The sequence below is a fragment of the Homo sapiens genome, chromosome 13, assembly GCF_000001405.40.
Source record: "Homo sapiens chromosome 13, GRCh38.p14 Primary Assembly".
NCBI lineage: Eukaryota > Metazoa > Chordata > Mammalia > Primates > Hominidae > Homo > Homo sapiens.
In genome coordinates, this window is record NC_000013.11 from 52,718,395 (window position 1) to 52,733,110 (window position 14,716).

The 14,716-nt window shown below is 42.1% G+C and overlaps 1 protein-coding gene across 7 annotated transcripts in view, besides 3 other annotated features; it reads right to left on the reverse strand.

The window, feature by feature from the left end:
• CNMD (chondromodulin) overlaps positions 1–14,716 on the reverse strand; it is a 36,557-nt gene that overhangs the window by 15,131 nt on the left and 6,710 nt on the right. For 4 of the 7 annotated variants that reach the window (NM_001011705.2, NM_007015.3, XM_011534898.3 and 1 more), the window contains exon 4: positions 5,603–5,716. The exons of the other annotated variants lie outside the window; for them this stretch is intronic. In NM_001011705.2, the coding sequence (NP_001011705.1) occupies positions 5,603–5,716 (114 nt within the window). The remainder of the gene's footprint in view (positions 1–5,602; positions 5,717–14,716) is intronic. 7 annotated transcript variants of the gene reach the window in all.
• Positions 1,950–2,731: an enhancer, noted in NCBI's record as "NANOG-H3K27ac-H3K4me1 hESC enhancer chr13:53294479-53295260 (GRCh37/hg19 assembly coordinates)". NCBI's record gives its function as "activates a minimal SCP1, AML or CMV promoter by ChIP-STARR-seq in naive H9 embryonic stem cells {active_cell/tissue: H9 hESC(naive)}" and the evidence as "EXISTENCE:reporter gene assay evidence [ECO:0000049][PMID:30033119]".
• Positions 2,732–3,512: an enhancer, noted in NCBI's record as "NANOG-H3K27ac-H3K4me1 hESC enhancer chr13:53295261-53296041 (GRCh37/hg19 assembly coordinates)". NCBI's record gives its function as "activates a minimal SCP1, AML or CMV promoter by ChIP-STARR-seq in naive H9 embryonic stem cells {active_cell/tissue: H9 hESC(naive)}" and the evidence as "EXISTENCE:reporter gene assay evidence [ECO:0000049][PMID:30033119]".
• Positions 3,818–4,026: a silencer, noted in NCBI's record as "fragment chr13:53296347-53296555 (GRCh37/hg19 assembly coordinates)". NCBI's record gives its function as "represses an EF-1alpha promoter that drives an FKBP-Casp9 reporter gene in an ReSE screen in K562 erythroleukemia cells {active_cell/tissue: K562}" and the evidence as "EXISTENCE:reporter gene assay evidence [ECO:0000049][PMID:32094911]".

Consider the following 14,716-nt stretch of genomic DNA (forward strand, 5'->3'; position numbering starts at 1 on the left):
TTTGCTCTTGCTTCTCTAGTTGTTTTAATTGTGATGTTAGGGTGTCAGTTTTAGATCTTTCTTGCTTTCTCCTGTGGGCATTTTAGTGCTATAAATTTCCCTCTAAACACTGCTTTAGCTGTGTACCAGAGATTCTGGTACATTGTGTTTTTGTTCTCATTGATTTCAAAGAACATCTTTATTTCTGCCTTCATTTTGTTATTTACCCAGTAGTCATTCAGGAGCAGGTTGTTCAGTTTCCATGTAGTTTTGCAGTTTTGAGTGAGTTTCTTAATCCTGAGTTCTAATTTGATTGTACTGTGGTCTGAGAGACTGTTATGATTTCCATTCTTTTGCATTTGCTGAGGAGTGTTTTTCTTCCAATTTTAGAATAATTGTGATGTGGTGCTGAGAAGAATGTATATTCTGTTGATTTGGAGTGGAGAGTTCTGTACATGTCTATTAGGTCTGCTTGGTCCAGAGCTGAGTTCAAGTCCTGAATATCCTTGTTAATTTTCTGTCTCATTGATCTGTCTAATATTGAAAGCGGGGTGTTAAAGTCTCCCACTATTATTATGTGGGAGTCTAAGTCTCTTTGTAGGTCTCTGAGAAACTTGCTTTATGAATCTGGGTGCTCCTATATTGGGTGCATATATATTTAGGATAGTTAGTTCTTCTGGTTGCATTGATCCTTTTACCATTATGTAATGCCCTTATTTGTCTTTTTTGATCTTTGTTGGTTTAAAGTCTGTTTTATCAGAGACTAGGATTGCAACCCCTGCTTTTTTTGCTTTCCATTTGCTTGGTAAATATTCCTCCATCCCTTTATTTTGAACCTATGTGTGTCTTTGCACGTGAGATGGGTCTCCTGAATACAGCACACCGATGGGTCTGGACTCTTTATTCAGTTTGCCTGTCTGTGTCTTTTAATTGCGGGATTTAGCCCATTTACATTTAAGGTTAATATTGTTATGTGTGAATTTGATCCTATCATTCTGATGCTAGCTGGTTATTTTGCCCGTTAGTTGATGCAGTTTCTTCATAGTGTTGATGGTCTTTACAATTTGGTATGTTTTTGCAGTGGCTGGTACCGGTTTTTCTTTTCCATATTTAGTGCTTCCTTCAGGAGCTCTTGTAAGGCAGGGCTGGTGGTGACACAATCTCTCAGCATTTGCTTGTCTGTAAAGGATTTTATTTCTCCTTCACTTATGAGGCTTAGTTTGGCTGGATATGAAATTCTGGGTTGAATATTCTTTTCTTGAAGAGGTTGAATATTGGCCCCCACTCTCTTTTGGCTTGTAGGGATTCTGCCAAGAGATCTGCTGTTAGTCTGATGGGCTTCCCTTTGTGGGTAACCCGAACTTTCTCTCTGGCTGCTTTTAACATTTTTTCCTTCATTTCAATCTTGGTGAATCTGACGATTATGTGTCTTGGGGTTGCTCTTCTTGAGGAGTATCTTTGTGGTGTTCTCTGTATTTCCTGAATTTGAATGTTAGCCTGTCTTGCTAGGTTGGGGAAGTTCTCCTGGATAATATCCTGAAGAGTGTTTCCCAACTTGGTTCCATTCTCCCTGTCACTTTCAGGTACACCAGTCAAATGTAGGTTTGGTTTTTTCACATAGTCCCATATTTCTTGGAGGCTTTGTTCATTCCTGTTCATTCTTTTTTCTCTAATCTCGTCTTCATGCTGTATTTCATTAAGTTGATCTTCAATCTTGGATATCCTTTCTTCCTTCCACTTAATGGATTTGGCTACTGATACTTGTGTATGGTTCACGAAGTTCTCGTGCTGTGTTTTTCAGCTCCATCAGGTCATTTAAGTTCTTCTTTAAAATGGTTATTCTAGTTAGCAATTCCTCTAACCTTTTTTTCAAGGTTCTTGGCTTCCTTGCATTGGGTTAGAACATGCTCCTTTAGCTCAGAGGAGTTTGTTATTACCCATCTTCTGAAGCCTACTTCTGTCAATTTGTCAAACTCATTCTCCATCCAGATTTGTTCCCTTGTTGGCGAGGAGTTGTGATCCTTTGGAGGAGAAGAGGCGTTCTGGTTTTTGGAATTTTCAGCCTTTTTGCACTGGTTTTTCCTTGATGTTGGTGACCTTTGGATGGGGTTCTGTATGGATGTCCTTTTTGTTGATGTTGATGCTATTCCTTTCTGTTTGTTAGTTTTCCTTCTAACAGTCAAGCCCCTCTGCTGCAGGTCTGCTGGAGTTTGCTGAGGTCCACTCCAGACCCTGTATGCCTGGGTATCACCATCAGAGGCTGCAGAACAGCAAAAATTGCTGTCTGTTCCTTCCTCTGGAAGCTTTGTCCCAGAGGGGCACCCATCAGATGCCAGCCGGAGCTCTCCTGTATGAGGTATCTGTCAATCCCTGCTGGGAGGTGTCTCCCAGTCAGGCACAGGGGGGTCAGGGACTCACTTGAGGAGGCAGTCTGTCCCTTAGCCAAGCTTGAGTGCTGTGCTGGGAGATCCACTGCTCTCTTCAGAGCTGGCAGGCAGGGACGTTTAAGTCTGCTGAAGCTGTGCTCACAGCCGCCCCTTCCCCCAGGTGCTCTGTCCTAGGGAGATGGGAGTTTTATCTATAAGCCCGACTGGGGCTGCTGCCTTTCTTTCAGAGATGCCCTGCCTGGAGAGGAGGAATCTAGAGAGGCAGTCTGGTTACAGCGGCTTTGAGGAGCTGCTGGGCTCCACCCAGTTCGGACTTCCTGGCGGCTTTGTTTACACTGTGAGAGGAAAACTGCCTACTCAAGCCTCAGTGATGGCTGATGCCCCTCCCCCCACCAAGCTCAAGTGTCCCAGGTCGACTTCAAACTGCTGTGCTGGCAGCGAGAATTTCAAGCCAGTGGATCTTAGCTTGCTGGGCTCCATGGGGGTGGGATCTGCTGAGCTAGACCACTTGGCTCCCTGGCTTCAGCCCCCTTTCCAGGGGAGTGAATGGTTCTGTCTTGCTGGTGTTCCTGGCCCCACTGGGGTATGAAGAAAGACTTCTGCAGCTAGCTCGGTGTCTTCCCAAATGGCCACCCAGTTGAAACCCAGGGCCCTGGTGGTGTAGGCACCCAAGGGAATCTCCTGGCCTGCAGGTTGCAAAGACCATGGGAAAAGCATAGTATCTGGGCTGGAAGGCACTGTTCCTCATGGCATGGTCCCTCACAACTTCCCTTGGCTAGCAGGGGGAGTTCCCCAACCCCTTGAGCTTCCTGGGTGAGTCTATGCCCCACCCTGCTTTGGCTTGCCCTCTGTGGGCTGCACCCACTGTCTAACCACTCCCAGTGAGATAAGCCAGGTACCTCAGTTGGAAATGCAGAAATCACCTGCCTTCTGTGTTGATCTCACTGGGAGCTGCAAACTGGAGCTGTTCCTATTCGGCCATCTCTATATATACTTTTATGTATCTCTCAAATTTCCTACAGTAACACAGTATTGTTTTTAAAAATCAGGGAAAAATGTATTTAAAAACTCAGAAAATATACTGCAAACTTATGATTAAATCTGGGTCAGCCATTGTTGGGGAATTGGTCCTTGTAGAAGGCAGGAGAGGAGAACAAGTTCTGGGTCCATTTGTAGGGAAAATGGCAAGGATTATAGTTCACTGAAGTCTTCATGACAGAAACTGAGGGATATGACTATAAAAAATGGTAATGCAATAAGAGAAGTTCAAGGGTCAGAACAAAGGAGGTCTTGGTCCCATTTTTATACTTGGTATAACATACTTGCACCGAGAAGACGACCTTTGATTCTGAACAGCACAGCTCATAAGGAACCAGCTGGAACACCATCAGGAGAGAATGACCAGAGCAAGGAAGGTCTGGAATACATCTCACAGGATGGATGGGAAACAGAGTAGAAAAGAGAAAACAGGAAATGGTAGTCAGCTTTACAAACTCACGGGTTTGTTTTTTAGCTTTTGTGTTGTTCTGTTTTGAGACACCGCCTGCAGCTGCTCCTATGGGGGCAAACAATCAGGCAGTTTCCAGGCGCCTTTGCTAACCCATATAGTTTTCCTCTTTTGCCTTGAGGGAGCTGATACTTGCTTTCCCTCCCTCTCAGGAATACTGGGAGGATCAAAGATGATCATAATAAAATTAACAACAATGAGCAGCAGCCATCTGTCAACCATCAAGTAGATTTGAGGGCCATGGGCACTGTATGCATACCCCCAGCTTACAGATGACAATATCCATAGGGAGTATGAGAGCTGAGATGTAAATCCACGTTTTTCTGACTTCAAAGCCCATTTTCTCTCCACTCTATCCTGCCACAACTCAAATAAAAGACAGTAATCAATGGGACCATTTTGTAAGCCCTAAACTACCATTAAAAGTAAGGTATTACTGTTAAATGTGTCTTTAGAATTCTGTATGCAATTCCTAAAGTAAATTTTAAAAAAATCAAGCTCAAAGGCAAGTTATTAATAATAAATGAAAGAAACATGTTTTAAAAACTCACAGGTTTGACACATAGAAAAGGAATTAGATATATGTTGTGTAGCTTCAATGGGCTGAACCTGAACCAATGGGAAGAAGTTGTAGGAGGAGCTATCTCAGCTTAATGTAGGGCAAAACAATTAGAACCACCCTCAGTGATGCTGGCTGGTGTTGGGGTGGGGGATGAGTGCCCTGTGGCTGCTTTCCAGCAGAGGCTGTGTGATCCGCTATTGTGGGTCCCTTTAATGAAGACCCTGTCTTGTGGAGTCCTTTGTCTTTATTGTGGAGTCTCTTTCGGGTTTTTTTATTTTTTGAGATAGAGTCTCATTCTGTTGCCCAGCCTGGAGTGCACTGGTGCAATCTCAGCTCCCTGCAGCCTCAATCTCCTGGGCTCAAGTGATCCTCCCACCTCTGCCTCCTGAGTAGCTGGGACTATAGGTACGCACTACCATGGCCAGCTAATTTTTTGTATTTTTAGTAGAGACAGGGTTTTGCCGTGTTGTCCAGGCTTGTCTGGAATTCCTGGGCTTAAATGAACTGCCCACCTCGGCCTCCCAAAGTGCTGGGATTACCAGCATGAGCCACCATGCCTGCCTCTATTGTGGAGTCTTAACCACAGATCAGATAGTTCCCTAACCTCAGGCAAATAAGGCCATATGAGCACCCAGCCCCTTTATGCACTTTAAAATGTGGCTTCCCAAAACGTTTAAATATACTATATCATGTGAGAAGAATCCCTTGACCCCAGTAGGACAAAAACAGTTTGAATTCCTTTGGCAGAGAAGAAATCGAATTTACCATCTAGTCATGAACCTATCCAGGTACTAGAAACCAAAAGTGTTGTGCCTTTAGGCTGGGCGCGGTGGCTCACTCCTATAATCCTGGCACTTTAGGAGGCCGAGGCAGGCAGGTCACTTGAGGCCAGGAGTTCAAGAAGAGCCTGGCCAACATGGTGAAACCCTGTATCTATTAAAAATACAACAAGTTAGTTGGATGTGGTGGTGTCCCTGTAGTCCCAGCTGCTCAGGAAGCTGAGACAGGAGAATCGGATGCAGTGAGCCAAAAGCGCCACTGCACTCCAGAGTGAGACTCTGTCTCAATAAAAATAAAAATAAAAACAAAAAATAAAAACCAAAAGGGTTGTGCCTTCAAACAATGTTTGCCAAGCAGTCTCACTGTCTCAGGCATGTTGGTACCCACCAGTTTGGAGGAGATGCTCTGTTTGGTCACGGCGCCCACCTCAGGAATACGAGCCTTCACTTGCGCTTTAATGTAGCACTTCTCTCCTCCAGCAAAACGAATTCCTGTGATGCCCTATGAAACAAAAGTGTATCCATCTATCTATCCATTTGTTCATTTATTCGATTTATTGAGTGTCTACTGTGTTCCAGATGCTGTTCCGGGTGCTAGGGATAGGGATGAACAAAAGAGATGGAACTGCCCTCATGGAACTTACCTTTTAGCATTGTTTACCAATAATAAAAAACAGCCGGGCGGCCTGGCGCGGTGGCTCACGCCTGTAATCCCAGCACTTTGGGAGGCCAAGGCAGGCAGATCACGAGGTCAGGAGATCAAGACCATCCTGGCTAACACGGTGAAACCCGATCTCTACTAAAAATACAAAAAAAAAAAAAAAAAAAAAAAATTAGCCAGGCGTGGTGGCGGGCGCCTGTAGTCCCAGCTACTTGGGAGGCTGAGGCAGGAGAATAGGGTGAACCGGGGAGGCGGAGCTTGCAGTGAGCCAAGATTGCGCCACTGCACTCCACAGCCTGGGCAACAGAGCAAGACTCCGTCTCAAAACAAAAACAAAAAACAAACAAAAACAGCCGGACATGGTGGCTTATGCCACCAGAACTTTGGGAGGCCGACGCGGGCAGATCACCTGAGGTCGGGAGTTTGAGACCAGCCTGGCCACCATGGTGAAACCTTGTCTCTACTAAAAATACAAAAATTAGCCGGGTGTGGTAGCGGGCTCCTGTAATCCCAGCTACTTGGGAGGCTGAGGCCGGAGAATCGCTTGAACCCGGGAGGTGGAGGTTGCAGACAGCCAAGATCGCCACTGCACTCCAGCTTGGGTGACAGAACGAGGCTGTCTCAAAAAAATAAAAACAAACAAACAAACAAGAATAGAGATAAAGTCAGGTAATAACTGTTAAGAAGAAAAATAAGACAGGAATGATGAGGTGGTAATTTAGACAGACAGCATAGTCAGGGGAGGTGACTCAATGAGGGGATGATATTTGAGCTGGGACAGAATATGTTAGTTATTCCATCTATATTCACAAGCTCAGATGAAATGCCACCTTCTCCATGCAGCCTTCTCTGAACATCTCAGCCTAAGCAGCTGTCTTTCCTCTGCTTTCCCATAAGTCCTCCTGTCTTCATTCCTCAACTGGGATGCTTACTCAGCTATACACAGCCTACTTAGTTATAAGCTTCTTGAGATCAGTATTTGAATCTTTTCTGTTTTCTTTTTTGGTGACCCCACAAAGCTATTCAAAAGATGTTGGTCAAATTAATTAATTCTGTGAATTCAGAATTTTCCTAGGTTACTGAGCCCAGAGTAAACAGTAAAACTTTCTACAGCACCTGGTTCTGAACTTTCCTTCTATACCTTACCCAAGGACTTAGATGTTTTTTTTTTGTCTCCTGAGAGATATAAACAATATCTTCTCTTGGTCTGCCTAGGGACTGCCTCAAGGGAAACATCAGCCACAAAGCTCCAGTCTTGGCTGAAAGCACAGCCCCGATTCTACCCACAGAGGACATGAGGGGTAACAGGATGCTCTGTCCCAAGAATGTTTACTCTCCTCCTGCTGCTGTTAGTTTCAGGACTAGTGAATCTAAAATAAAGGCCTACAATTTTTATGGTATAATAATGGAGATACTAGCACAAATCTGAACCTTATCAGTCCTCTGTTGAGTTGAGGCAAGTGTTGGAATGATATAGAAATGGTACCAGGGCCAGTGATAAAGAATGGGGGTAGAAAACACTTAAAATCTAGGGATCCTGGCTCAAGATTCAGCCCTTTACAATGAAGAAGAAAATTAAATGTAAGTCATGCTGGAGGGGATTAATGGATAGCTCTACCTTATGTAGTCACAGAGCCAGGAGCCCTACAGAAGCTGGTGAGTAAAGGACTGCAAAACACAGAAGAAAAGGCTCATTCTTCCTCAAGCTCTTTATTATTTGTCTTGTGGCTTAATTAATCATGTATACATATGTAACTCATTTCACCTATTTCTCCCAGCACTACTGCTCACTCAGAGAGACAGGGGCATTATCCCCACTTTACAGAAGAGGAGCTCCGAGGCTCACTGCTGAGGCTTGGCTCTTAACTGCACCTGAATTCACTGTAGAGGGTTTAAGAACACAGACGCCTGGGTCCCTTCCCAGAGATTCCCATTTGATTGGTTTGCTTTGGGGCCCAGGTATTGGGAGCCTTAAAAGCTCCCCAGGTGTTTATAATTTAAAGGGTTGATGCCAGGGTTGAAGACTACCATATGAAAGAGAAAGGTGTTCAAGGTAACAAAGCTTTTAAAGTGATGGCAATAACCTTTGGACCCAAGTTTCTTTTTATCAGTGGTTCACAAACCTTCCCTTGTATCAAAAATCCCCTGGGTCCCCAGCAAAACTTCAGAACAGTCTTCATTAACAACCACACCTTAAGCTACCAAGAAAAATCACAGACACCACCGACGCTGTTTACAGCTAAAAAAAAAAAAAACATACAGAGACTATACTACTGCATGCACCCAGAATGAAAGCTGAAGTGCCCTACCTAACCAACACCAAAAGTCCACACCTATGAAAGCAAATTTAAAAAACTGTAATAAGCAACTATTAAATCAGATGCACAGATATCAACACAAGGACACAGGAAGCATGAAAAAGCAATAAAACATGACACTCCCAGAGGAATACAATAATTCTCCAGCAACAGATCACAATCAAAAACAAATTTATGAAATCCCAGAAAAAAAATTAAATATTGATATTAAAGAAGCTCCGTGAGATACAAGAGAATACTGAAAAACATGACAAAGAAATCAGAAAGACAATTTAGGATATGAATGAGAAATTTAATAAGGAGATGTATATTATGAAAAAGAACGAAATAGAAATTATAGAACTGAAGAATTCATTGAATGAAATACAATATACACTTAAAAGATTCAACAATAGAAGCCAGGCACAGTGGCTCACACCTGTAATCCCAGCACTTTGGGAGGCCAAGGTGAGTGGATCGCCTGAGGTCAGGAGTTCGAGACCAGCCTGGCCAACTATAAACCCCATCTCTACTAAAAATACAAAAAAATAAAAAATAGCTGGCCATGGTGGTGCACGCCTGTTATCCCAGTTACTCGAGGCTGAGGCAGGAGAATCGCTTGAACTCAGGAGGTGGATGTTGCAGTGAGTTGAAATGGCACCACCGCACTTCAGCCTGGGTGACAGAGCCAGACTCCGTCTCAAATAAAAAAAAATGATTCAACAATAGACTATTTCAGGCATCTCAGAACTTGAAGAGAAGTCTTTTGAAATAACCCAGTCAGACAAAAATAAATAAAAAAGAATAAAAAAGGGCCAAGCATAGTGTCTCATGCCTGTAATCCCAACACTTTGGGAGGCTGAGGCAGAAGGACTGCTTGAGCCCAGGAGTTCGCAACCAGCCTGCACAACATGGTGAGACCCCATTTCTACAAAAAAATTTTAAAAATTAGCTAGGTGTGGTGGTGTGTGCCTGTAGTCCCAGCTACTTGGAAGGGAGAAGGATCACTGGTATATATATATATATCCACAATGGAATACTATTTGGCCATAGAAAAGAATGAAATCATGTCATTTCCAGTAACATGGATGGAACCAGAGGTCATTATGTTAAATGAAATAAGCCAGGCACAGAAAGACAAATGTCATATGTTCTCTCTCCTATGTGGGAGCTAAAAAAGTTGATCTCATGGAAGCAGAAAGTAATGATAGATACCAGAGGCTGAGAAGGATATATGGGTGGAGCTGGGGGAATGAAGACAGGTTGGTTAGTGGGTGGTAAAAACATGCAGTTAGACAGAAGAAATAAGTTCTAATGTTCAGTAGCAGAGTGGGGTGACTATAGTTAGCAACAATGTATTGTATGTTTCAAAGCAGCTAGAAGAGAGGACTTGAAATGTTCCCAACACATAGAAATGAAAACCAAATACCCTAACATTATCATTACACATCCTATTCATGTAACAAAATATCACATATATCTCATAAATATATAAAATATTATGTAACAATTTTAAAAAGGCAAATTAAAAAATCACCTGGGCCAGGGCGGTGGCTCACGCCTGTAATCCCAGCACTTTGGGAGGCCGAGGCAGGAGGATCACGAGGTCAAGAGATGGAGACCATCCTGGCCAACATGGTGAAACCCCATCTCTACTAAAAATACAAAAATTAGTTGGGCGTGGTGGCGTGCACCTGTAGTCCCAGCTACTCGGGAGGCTGAGGCAGGAGAAACCCAGGAGGCAGAGGTTGCAGTGAGCCAAGATTGCACCACTGCACTGCAGCCTGGCGACAGAGCGAGACTCCATCTCAAAAAAAAAAAAAAATTCACTTGGAGGACTTGTTAAATTAAACAGTGTTGTGCCCCACCCCCAGTTTCCCATTCAGTAGGTCTGGGGTGGGGCCTAAAATCTGCATTTCTAACAAGCCAAGTGATGCTCCACTGGCAGCCTGAGGAATACACGTGGAGAATAACTGCTTTCTCTTATGCTACCTCCTGTAGGGCTGCTGCTCTTATTTGGCATGTAAATTTAGGACTCATAGTTTGAAAAACAGAAGGCAGGGAGGGAGATGATGCCTTCTTATGTGACATTTTCTCTTAACTTCAAACACATCCCCTGAATGTGAGATGTGTGGAGGGAATGCACACATCTCCGTCACCATATCCCCAAAGGGGAAAGCTGATTCTACTGAATGATTCGCAGCACTGAATGGGAATCTAGTGTTAAGTTGGTTCTGACAGTCGACACACCGCAGTGAGAACTGAAACCCCCATGGGGTAGGAAGTGTGGGAAAGAATTCACACATATTAACTACCGTGTCTAGCAAAAACTCCACATCAAGCAGCCAGATATATTAAGAGATTAAACAGAGGGAACTAAAAGAAGCACAAGAAAGCCAAGCAAACCTCCTGTTTTTGCAAACAAACAGGCTTTAGAAGCTGGTGGTAATGAAGAAATTTGCTAGCAAGGGTGATGAGTGGAGAGTCCAAGAATCTAACATTCTTTTTTCAAAACAGTGATGTAATCTTACCTTGGCTGCACATTTTTTTCTTTCTAAGGTATCTCATCTATTTCTATGGCTTAAACCAGAGGTTCCCAAGGATGGTAGGAGTTCGTGTCCCCAAGAGGGCACTTTAGAAATCCTTGGAGAAGTTTCTTGTCACAAAGATTGGGGGCACTCCTGACCTTTATTGCACAGGGCCCAGGGATGTCAGGTCCTGCAGAGCCTGGGACAGTCCTGAAGAACTAATTGTCCCGGGTTGGAGGAAAAAAACCTGTTTGTAAATATCAGTGTCTAGAACCCAGTGTTGTTTTATATGTAAACACAAAGTAATTTTTGGCATAGTCTTAATGTACAACAAATTTCCTAGGAATGCAATTACTGTGAAATGGAGAGAAAACAGTACTTTTCTTCACTGTTTGAGAAAATTACATAGCATTTAAATTGCCAACACACACTTGTGTCTGTCTGCATTTTGGGCTGTGGCATTGACAGTCATTCAGCTACTACTATAAGTGTTTGACTTTATATCTTCTAGTGCATCTGGCTGAACATTTACATATGAAGTCCATATTTTTAATATAAATTAGTTTCATTTCATTTTTCCTTTACCTTATAGTTGGAGGCTGAATTGACAGGTTATGCTGTCTTTACTTTCTCTAGCTTTTTAAATAAAAATTTCAAATATTCACAAAATTAAAAGGATTATACAGTGAACCCCCATATGCCCATCAGTTTATTCTTTCAATTTCTTTTTTTTAAAATTTTATTATTATTATACTTTAAGTTTTTGGGTACATGTGCACAATGTGCAGGTTTGTTACATATGTATACATGTGCCATGTTGGTGAGCTGCACCCATTAACTCGTCATTTAGCATTAGGTATATCTCCTCATGCTATCCCTCCCCCCACCCCACAGCAGTTCCTGGTGTGTGACGTTCCCCTTCCTGTATCCATGTGTTCTCATTGTTCAATTCCCACCTATGAGTGAGAACATGCGGTGTTTGCTTTTTTGTCCTTGCGATAGTTTGCTGAGAATGATGGTTTCCAGCTTCATCCATGTCCCTGCAAAGGACATGAACTCATCATTTTTTATGGCTGCATAGTATTCCATGGTGTATATGTGCCACATTTTCTTAATCCAGTCTATCATTGTTGGACATTTGGGTTGGTTCCAAGTCTTTGCTATCGTGAATAGTGCTGCCATAAACATACGTGTGCATGTGTCTTTATAGCAGCATGATTTATAATCCTTTGGGTATATACCCAGTAATGGGATGGCTGGGTCAAATGGTATTTCTAGTTCTAGATCCCTGAGTAATCGCCACACTGACTTCCACAATGGTTGAACTAGTTTACAGTCCCACCAACAGTGTAAAAGTGTTCCTATTTCTCCACATCCTCTCCAGCACCTGTTGTTTCCTGACTTTTTAATGACTGCCATTCTAACTGGTGTGAGATGGTATCTCATTGTGGTTTTGATTTGCATTTCTCTGATGGCCAGTGATGATGAGCATTTTTTCATGTGTTTTTTGGCTGCATAAATGTCTTCTTTTGGGAAGTGTCTGTTCATATCCTTCGCCCACTTTTTGATGGGATATTCTTTCAATTTCTAAGGCTTTTTGTTATATAAATGGGGCATTCAGTCCAAGGGGGTTGGCTTAAAGCAACAGCACTGGTGCTTGTGAGAGTATAACTAGAATGTAACTCATAAAGTATGAATGAACTTGGGTTTTCTATCTCTCAGGGTGGAGAGCCTGGAGCACTTTTTTCAGTGCTATCCTCCGTCGGGGGTTGTTTTCTTCCACGGGGTTCTACTAAAATCTTGGTGGGGTCCTGGACGAACCGGGGAGACTGTTCATTTACAATTCAAAACCTTTTATAATCTAGCCCCACCTGCATCCCCATCTTTTTTCCTTCCCCAAGTTGGGCTGAACTGGGCTACTTAGAATTAGAACCCTGGAGCGAGACTGCACATTCATGTTCACTATTTTTCCCTGGGCCTGGAGAGCCTTCCCCTACCTGTCTGACAGTTGAAATCCTGATTATTCTTCAGGACCTGATTTGGTCATCACTACATCTGCAAGACCTGCCCCAGTCCCCTATTCAGGAAGGATGTTCCCTCTCTGTTCATAACTCATTGGAACACGTTTTCCAAGCTAAACTGAAGCTATGTCTGTGTGTACGTCTGCCTCCTGAACTGAACTGAAGGGTCCTTGAGGGAAGGGTCCATCATTTTCGCATTCCGCCTGCTTAGCATCATCCCTTGCACACAGCATGTCTCAATAAATGCTTCTTGAATTTGACCGTTGATTCAAAATACAGGAGAAAGTAATAGTGTAGGTACCATAGTGGCTGATTCATGTGTTTTCAAAAGTTCAGGCTTGTTTAAACCCATAACAGGTTCTATCCATCAAAAAAAATGTTCTACTCACCAGTTCTGACTTAGAGAAATGTGGAAGCTATCAAAGAGAATTGATCAGTTTATAAAATATCTATGGCCCTGTTGGTCTATGAGAACAAAACACAATCGATACCATTATTAGAAAAGAACCAAAGGATTATAAAACAGAAATATAGGTTTGGGATTAAAATATGTTAAAAGAGTATTTTTGATACATGAACATCTCAAGAAAGATGAATCGTTTCTTATTCGTCTTTGTAGCTCCCTTTGCATATCTTAATATTGTGGCACACCACAGGCATTCAATTTCTGGATTGAATAATGTGTGTTGGGGAGTCACATTTTATTAGCTTATATTGAGTAGTACAAAGAAAAAATGATTTTACCCTGTCCTGGGTCTTGCAGTAAAAGCCTTTAATAAGTGCAGAGAAATTATACTTGTGCATTGAGCAGAATCATCTGCAAAGCTATGACTAAACAAAGTGCGTCTGGGCACATACAGAGCAGCAGAGGCTGTCCCCAGGGCAGAGACCATTCTGAACATAGTCCTTGTCATGATCAAATAATATCTGACATCACAATAGCTCTAATGTTAGCATCTGTTGGGTATTCAAATGGACTTATGAGGTATATTTTGGTACCAACAAGAGGAGTGCTTTCACTCAAATGAAAAGCATCTTTAGCTTTTCTCATCAATCAGAGGAAGATGGGTCGATGAGGTGTTTGTGGACCAATAAACTATCAGAAGAGACATTATTTTCAAGAGGCTTTTTTCATTATGAAGTTTCACCTACTCCATCTGCAGATTTAACAGGAGTACACAAATAGTGATGCCTCTTCCTTATAGTAAAACATGAAAGAGCATAAAATATTTATGTTGGCCAACAGGAAATTCGGCCTGAAGTGACACTTTGGTTTGCAGATGTACACCGAAACATTGCTGCACAGCTTAATGTCTCAAATTGCCTGTAAATGAAATTTTTGTTAAAAAATCAAAACAAAACAGTCTCCTTTTCAAAGGAGATGTGAATGTTTTATCTCTAATATGCTATGGTAACATGCTATGGTCAGAAAACATATGCTATAATAGGAGAATTTGCTCATGGTCATTTTCTGGATTAAATAGGAAATTGGAATTGAGAAAAGTATGCAAATAGATCCCACCTGTTGTTGATGAGATTATTAGGTCATTAAAATTTCCCTCTTCTTCAGAAATTTAAATTTCAAATCTTGCAACATTCTTGGATTGTTTTGAGCATTTTATTCATCACGTTACAGAAATCCGCTTGAAAAGAAATAGCTCCTTCAAGTCTTTCTGCCAAGACTTTTATATAATTCCAAGAAGAACCTGCTCTTTTCAATGCTATGGTATTGTGGTTTTTTTCTTCCAGTTTTAAAAATCAAGTTTTATTTTGATTTCTAGGGACATACCTTTAATTTCCTAGAAGTAAAAAATGTTTTTCAAAACAGCTAAATCCTTATGTACATGAATTCAGTAAAGGTGGTTCTTTTTGTTTTTGGTATTTTACAACTGAAGTGTTGTTTTTTTCTTTTGCAAATATGAAGGACAAAGTCTGGTCCTTTCTCAGAGAGAATATGCTACATGTAGTGGATTAGTGGCACTACAACTGCTATAA